The sequence below is a fragment of the Homo sapiens genome, chromosome 4 (genome assembly GCF_000001405.40).
Source record: "Homo sapiens chromosome 4, GRCh38.p14 Primary Assembly".
Lineage (NCBI taxonomy): Eukaryota > Metazoa > Chordata > Mammalia > Primates > Hominidae > Homo > Homo sapiens.
Window position 1 is genome coordinate 104,942,279 of NC_000004.12, and position 7,785 is coordinate 104,950,063.

The window sequence follows — 7,785 nt, forward strand, 5'->3', positions numbered from 1 at the left end:
TGATAGAAACAGAACTAGGAGAGTGGAAATGAGCTCTCTCTGGAAATACTTTCATAAACATCTCCTGAAACCCTACCACCAGGTTGGCAAATCATTGTTGTCTCCATCTTACATAGGGAATGGCTCAAAGTCACATAGTTAAGAAGTGGCAAAGACAGATCCATACTCAGGTCTTATAGATTCCAGGCCAAAACCCATCCATTCCCCACCACCACCATTTAACCCAGTTTCACAGGCGTGGTGGCAGCGATGGCAAAATTTGTCCTTCATAGTGTCACATCCATGGCTTCCTAAAGGCTCACATTACCCTCCTACAGACAGCATGGCTGTCTCCAACATGTCTCAACCAAAGTAACTACTGATCTCTATTGTGATGTAAAATAAAACATCCCTTATTAGTGCATTTTCTTTTGTGCCCTGTTTTTCATCCTGGATATCAACAAAAGGCCAATCAAACCAGTAAAAATGTTTAAAATTCTGTATATAACTTTTAGTCCATTTGATGCTCTATATACTTACAAGCACATTTTATAAAATTAGCTGCTTGAAAATCATGTAGATATATATATTGTTTCAACTTAATTATTCTGTGCAATATAGCACTCACCACAGCCAATTGTTTAAAGTATCCCAATGGCCTTCCAAACTCTCCTATATGCTCTACAAAGCATAGTTGTTCTGAGCCCCATCTGCACAGCACAGATAGCCGTGTTCCTCAAGTATTCTATGTGCTCCTCTCTATGCCCCAACCTCTCATGCAGTTAGACTGGGGACATGCAACCAGTCTGGGTCATTCAACTATGTATGTGTTAAATCATTAAACCTCACAATAAGGTAGGTATGCTGTGATTTCTTGGATTCTGTATTCGTCTGTGAGGCATCCATTCAAAACAGGGCCAGCTTTATTAAACTACATTTTCTTAATTTCTATAGTTCTTGATGCTCTAGAATCTGGTGGCCTTACAGACCCAGAAAGAGACTATCTTCCCTAGAGCTGGCTAATTCTGAGAGTCGGCGAAGGTCTTAGCTGAGAGCACAGCTCTCACGTACAAACCAACCAATCCTGAATCTACAGCCCCAAACTCCTTATCTAACTCTCACACAACAAACCAATATTTCCCTTGCCCTAAATCTTCCCAGTTACCAGGCAACTAGAGATCACCCTTATAGCCCAAAGTCCTCTGGAATCATTCAAACTGGCCAATCCTAAACTGTTTACTCTGCTCTGCCTTCCTTTTCGCACAGAAACCTCAAGAAAGGCTCTGGCCTAGACTTGCCCCTTGTTCCTGTCTTCTGGCTCTTGACTGACACTGGTGCTTTCCCCCTGTGGTCCTGCATGGTGTGTGGTGACTACCTCATTGGGCCCTGTGAGTAGAATAAATTCCTTTCTAAGCTTTGTTCTTGTTTTCTCTTGCGGCTGCACTAACTTTACCATACCCCAGCCAAAATATACATTCTTAGAAGAGTAGGTACTATTTTTAACCTCATTTTAGAGATGATGAAACTAAAACACAGATATAATACTTTAAACAATTTATCCAAGATAACATGAGAAGCCAAGATTCTAACCCAGGCAAGCCAGCTCAAGATTGTAATAAAAACAGGGCTTTGTCTTCTCCATCCTCCACACATCTGGAATAGCACTTAGCTTTACGGTTTTTCTTTGCATTTAATTGATGCACTGCAAGACTACTTGTGTAGATTTTCAGTGTCGTCAAAAAGTAACAGCCACAGATTTTGGTAATTGAATTCGTGGTCAGCTCTGCTTTGCTAGCACAAATCCTAGTTTTATTTTAGATTTTACCTTATTTCTAGCCTTTAGATTTCTAGATACCTTTCTATTTCATTGTCTTCCTGGTCTTCTAGTCACCAACATCCCTTAGTATTCTTGCCCAGCTCTGACACAATTCTAATCCTATCTTTTCTGATGTATATAGAAGGAGAATGAGGGAGATTATTTATAAAGTATATTCACAAAGACAGGTAAAGGGACATTTGGGAGGATGAGAGCTGTCCTTTTTCTCTAGGCTACACCATATTTACACAATTGCTACACCAAGGCATCTGTATTTTTGCCATCATCATCAAAGCTCCCAGGATTTCTTCTACATGCAAGAAAGCTAATCTAGCATGATCTAATATAAAACCAAATATGACAGTCCAAAACTTTTGTAAAGGAGAAACTAGGGCAACAGTGATTAGCAGTGTATTAGGTTAGTTCCCCCAGAGAAACAAATCTCACTATGATCTGAAGATTTCTAAACAGCCCTTTGAGCTTCATGAGCAAACCTTATACTAACTCATTCTTACAAGGACCTTTTAGAAGACCAGAACACTTCTATAGAATCCTTAAACAAGAATTAATATGTTTTCCCCAGATTAACACCCAAGAGTCAGAAAAAAAATTTCTGGCTAACTGATGCATAATTGTTTATGGACATCAGCTTGCCTTGAGTATATTCAGCTTTAATGTTAATAGGAAAAAATGTATTTCTAATAAATATTTGCTGCCACAAGCAGAAAGATAAGAAAGTCTGTTAGGGAAAACTGCCAATGTCCTAGTATCATGTTTCCAAGAAGGGGCTTCTGGAATAACACTTCCTCTAGAGTCCTCACATATCTTCTGTGTTTTTTAAATGAGGAGGAGAGACACAGGTAATTGGGGAGATTAAAACAAGACACTGGAAGTATGGCTCAGCCCCTTTATAGTCACTAAGATATGTAGAGAATAGGGGTCTTTTATGAGGGCAACAGGCCCTGGTGACAAATATTTTGAGGCCTCCAAGAAAGGGTGAACTAACAATATCTTTACAGAGGTCTGTATTCAGATCCACACTTCTTCCAGACCACAAATCCCAATTGTTTGTAGTGAATTCCCCTCTTCTCTCATTGCCGCTGGCCTTCTCTTCTAGATCCTAAACTTAATGTAGTAAATATACGTGGGTCAAGGCTCAAACTTCCTTCTTGGAGCACCTTATCCCCCTGTCTCCTCTACTAGGGTTCAGTAGAGATGAGGCAGTAACGATCTAAGTTGGCCTTCTTTACGTTGTTCTGATGGATTATCCCAAAGCATAAGCTTAAGGAAAAACAGAAACAATTCAATTTTCCACTACTTAGGAAGCATCTAAGCTCACACACAAATCCAATGTTAATAGCTGATCATTTAATCCTGAACTATCTGACTCTTGACAATTTCTCAACCAGTTCCAAACTCAGAGAGGATTTACGGGGTCAGGGTAATGATCCTACACCTGTTCAAACCTCAACAAAGTCATGTCAAAAGTAATCTAGAAAGCTATGTATGTAGTTTTTAACACCTACCTAACAAGGTAGATGCTAAGGAAAAAAACAAAATTCATCACACCCAAGGTTCCCTACATCTTCCTACGTCCAAAGTTTATTTCCTAATAATATCAGGTAGAGTTATATGCCTTTACGCTGAATTTTACTTCATGGTTGAGCCCACAGAATCTTAGAACTGAAAATAACTTTATGGAAGACTGAATAGGTCACAAAGCTAGCTATTGACAGAGCTAAAACTGGAACTCTAGTCTTCACATTCCCAGCTGGGTTCTCCTTCCATTATAGGAGACTCCCTCCTAATGCTTTTTGGTAAGCTAATTCTCTGTGTGTCTTCATTCCTTTTTAACATATGAAAGGGATATTTTGTGGTAAAAATAAATAGTTTCATAACTATAAAGCATCAGAATTTGAAGGAAATTTAGAGAAAAGATGTCAGCCCTTCTGTCATTTTATTGATGAGGCTGTGGAGGGTCATAGATAACTCAGCTAGACTATAATACTCCTGGATCTTAGCTCATTACACTTTCCTTCACAAAAGAAAAAAATGCCCATTCTAATCATTGCAAGCCAAAACTAATGTTGTATTTCTTTCTGATTGACAAGTTGCAGAGAAAATAATAGGTATTTAACCTCCTAAATAAAAGCATAAGCAGTAGATTTCTATAAGTATCATGCAACTCTCTACAGAGACCATTTTATTGACTGATTTAAATTAGCTTCTTCCTAAAACTTACCCATCTACCTTTTTGGTAATATAATTGCCCATTCTAACATAGACAACATTTAAAACACCAACCCAATTTCTTCGGTGGAAAACAATTCAATGATGAATGCTGATGAAAACCATTAGTTGTGCAAAACCATACTAAGTTGTTTCAGTAACAAGACAGGGACTGTTTAATGAAGCATGTCTCAACAATAAATAACAACAATAAAGAGAAATTTACTGCTTTGTGCTATATTGGACATTCATCATATACCCCAGAGCACTGGAAATTAAAATGGAAAATATCTGTTAATATATAAGTAAAAAGATAGAAAATATTTAAATAAGGTCAAACTACATTTTGATTATAATTTTTTAAAACAGGCTTATTTCTAATACATATATGTAAACTGAATAAGTGCTACATTTATTATACATTCGTTTGGTGTTTCTGCTGAATAATAATGTGAACACTGAGACTCCTACATAGTTGTAACACTTTAGAAAGGATTTACTCCAGAGACCATGATTTATTATTTTCACAGAAAATGCTGGGATATATGAAGTACTGACCTCCCTAAGAACTGCATCAGTGTGTGTGTTCTAGGCTTGAGGGCTCTGATATGGTCTGAATGTTTGTCTCCCCACAAAATTTGTATGGCAAAATCCTAATCCCCAAGGTGATGACATTAGGAGGTGGGGCCTTTGGGAGGTAATTAGGTCATGGGGGCATTAGGAGGTGGGGCCTTTGGGAGGTAATTAGGTCATGGGGGCAAAGTCCTCATGAATGGGATGAATGCCTTTATTGATGGGACCTCGGAAAGCTAGCTAGCTCCTTTTCCACCATGGGAGGATACAGTGAGACGGTGCCTTCTATGAACGTGGAAATTGGCACTCACCAGACACCAATCTACCAATACTTTGATCTTGCCCTTCCCAGCCTCCAGGACATGAGAAATAAGATTCTGTTATTTATAATCTATACAATTTATGACATTTTTGTTACAGCAGCTCTAATAGACTAAGACTCCATCTTTAGAAGAAAACACTGTAAGAACTCATAATTTATAGTAAGACTGCCACAGAGGAACACGGGTCAATTTCTAAGAGAAGAATCCCAGATGGGACCAATCATTAATGCTCCTTCTTCCCCTCTAAAGTATAAGCCACTCACCTAGACAGAAAGTTCCTTGTGAGCAAGGATAGCATAGAGTTAACCATTGTGCACCCACCACAACCAGGACAAAGCTTTTCCTTTATATCTGCACCCTCTCTTCCCGCCCTCTGATCTTGTTTTTCTCTGATCAGCTTTCTGCTGACTCCCTTTTTCCACTTCTATTTTCTAGCTCTTCCAAATTTTCTCTTAAAATAAGCTCTGGAAAGCAAGGGTCTGTGTCTTTTTGTTCTTTGTGTTTACCCACAGTGTTCAACACTAAAAAAGTTCTCAAATATTTGCTGAATTACTTATTGAATATATTCTCTTGACCTGCAAAGTAAAAGGCAATAGGCCCCTTGAACTGTGGTTAATGATATCTAAGACTTTGGTGTTAGGCAGAACTGGGTGTGAATCCTGGCCCTACGGCTTGTTTATTTATTTATTTGTCTTTTTTGTTTACAATTTTATTTCTGATACTTATTGCAGTGCCTGACACATAGTTTTTCAATGTATTTAGTTAAGAAATGAATAAATTATTTCACTTTGCACAATTAATAAGCAGTAAGAGTTCATGTCTTCTAGCACAGTGGTTTCTGGCACATTCCTCACTTCCCATCTCAGATGTGTGATACCACACTTCTGGAATCTTTGTAGGATATCCTAGAAATTCATTTCCAAGCCCCAAACAACCCATCCTCAAGACATTAGGACATTTGATGCTTCCACTCATCCCATGTATTCAACCTGACTATGCACTACACTGGCCCTATGGCTTATTAAATGTGTGATCTAGCTAAGTTGCTTAACCTTTCTATAGAGATATAGGGTGTCTATTTATCTAAACTGAAAATGTGTTTCCAAGAATTCTTCCCCTGGTATGGTCTAGATTAGTGTCAGTTAAGGGGAAATTTTTACAAGATTTGAATGCAGAATCAAAGTGGTAGTCACTTTTATGCTGTAAACTTTGATACAGGGCAAATACTGCTGCAGCCCATGAACACTGTTACTGACCTGCTGGTTCATCTTTTGGTGCAGGACAGCAGCCAGGTCTCCAAGTCATCAGGCTCCTACTTCAGCAAGTCAAACCTGAGTTAGGTGCACATGCAGCTATGTAGTGAAGGATGCCTGCTTCTACTGCAGATTACCTGCATCACAGAGGTTCAGGGCAGACAGATATTGATTCCAGTCTGTCCCCATGGTCTCCAGTGTGTCCTCAAAGTCAAGTCTGTCCTTGCCAATCACCACTTTATGTCCATCTTTCCTATCTTATTGCCTTCTCTGCTGACAGCAGGCCCAACATCAAATACAAAAGCAACAGCCTTACACGGACTGTTTTACTGGCTCCCATAAATGGGTAAGGTCTAACCCCTGTAATAAGTCCACGAGTCTCTATCACTCTGATTCTCCTTCTCTGAGCTAATCTAAATGATTCCCTTTCCAAATGTCAATTTTATAATATAATATATATTTTAAAAATAGTACATACCATTATTTTCTCAAAGTTATGATGATGAGTTAATTCATGTGCATCATTTGTGTGGTGCCTGGCACATAACTTTTCAATAAATAATAATTTATTACATTAAAACTTATTTTATTAAAAAAATAAAAACTGTCTCCTGGGATCGATAAATTCATCTGATATATGTATACATAATAGGAACTGCCCATATATTCATCATTCATTAAGAGTTTACCTCATCATTACTATTTTGTTATCCAAAGTGCATAATGGGAAGACTGTTTATTTGATTTATAACCTGTTCATTATTCAAAGAAAACCTGGATTTAGCTTTCCTATGTATGTTGTATGAGTATTTGCTTTGTTTTGTGTGTGTGTTTGAGGGGTACATAACTAAAATTAAACAATATCTAAAGAACTATATGTTCCGATGAAAATTAGTATAAATAAATTCCATACCCCAAATTCTCTAAGAATAATCTCCTGCAAATGCTACCATATTGAATATTTTCTGCTACTTGCAGCAGTTCAGTTGGACTGATATGATAGCTATCAATCCAAATGTTTGATAAAAATAGTATAAGAGGAGTAGAAGCAATAAGGATAATTAATATCTTGATGCTCCCAACAGGATAAAGTTCTTAAATAAGTGACATACCTTCCTAGAGAAACACAATGCTTTAGACAACTAGACAGGCCTAAAATAGAGTACATTTTGGCTAAGCTGTATCTTTTGTGAACTCAATATACAAATACAGCATGATAATGGCTGATGGATACTTTTTGTGGGATATAAAAAGTATAAAAGACTTGTAGTGTCCAGAGACCACAATCATGTCTTCTCTTGTCCTTTGCTGCAAGACGGTAGGCACAATATGAATATTTATTTACAAGGTTAATAAGAATTCGAGGAATAAACATGAACATCCACACATAAGATTATAAAGCTGCCTAAATGGCCCTTTTGTTGTAATGCTGGAAAATCTTTGGCATATTTAATCCACCTTTATAAAATTGCATTTTTAAGACATATTCAAGTGTCTGTCTATTTCCACCTAGGACTTAGATTAGTTGTCTTTAGAATTACCGTGGAGTTTTGGTTGTAGTGTTATTTAAGAGATTGTAGTCTTGCAGTCATACTTAATTGAAATATGCACT

At 37.6% G+C, this 7,785-nt stretch overlaps 1 annotated feature.

Annotated features, from left to right (window-relative positions):
- Positions 1,109-1,188: an enhancer, noted in NCBI's record as "active region_21772". NCBI's record gives its function as "activates an Ori minimal core promoter by ATAC-STARR-seq in GM12878 lymphoblastoid cells {active_cell/tissue: GM12878}" and the evidence as "EXISTENCE:reporter gene assay evidence [ECO:0000049][PMID:35858748]".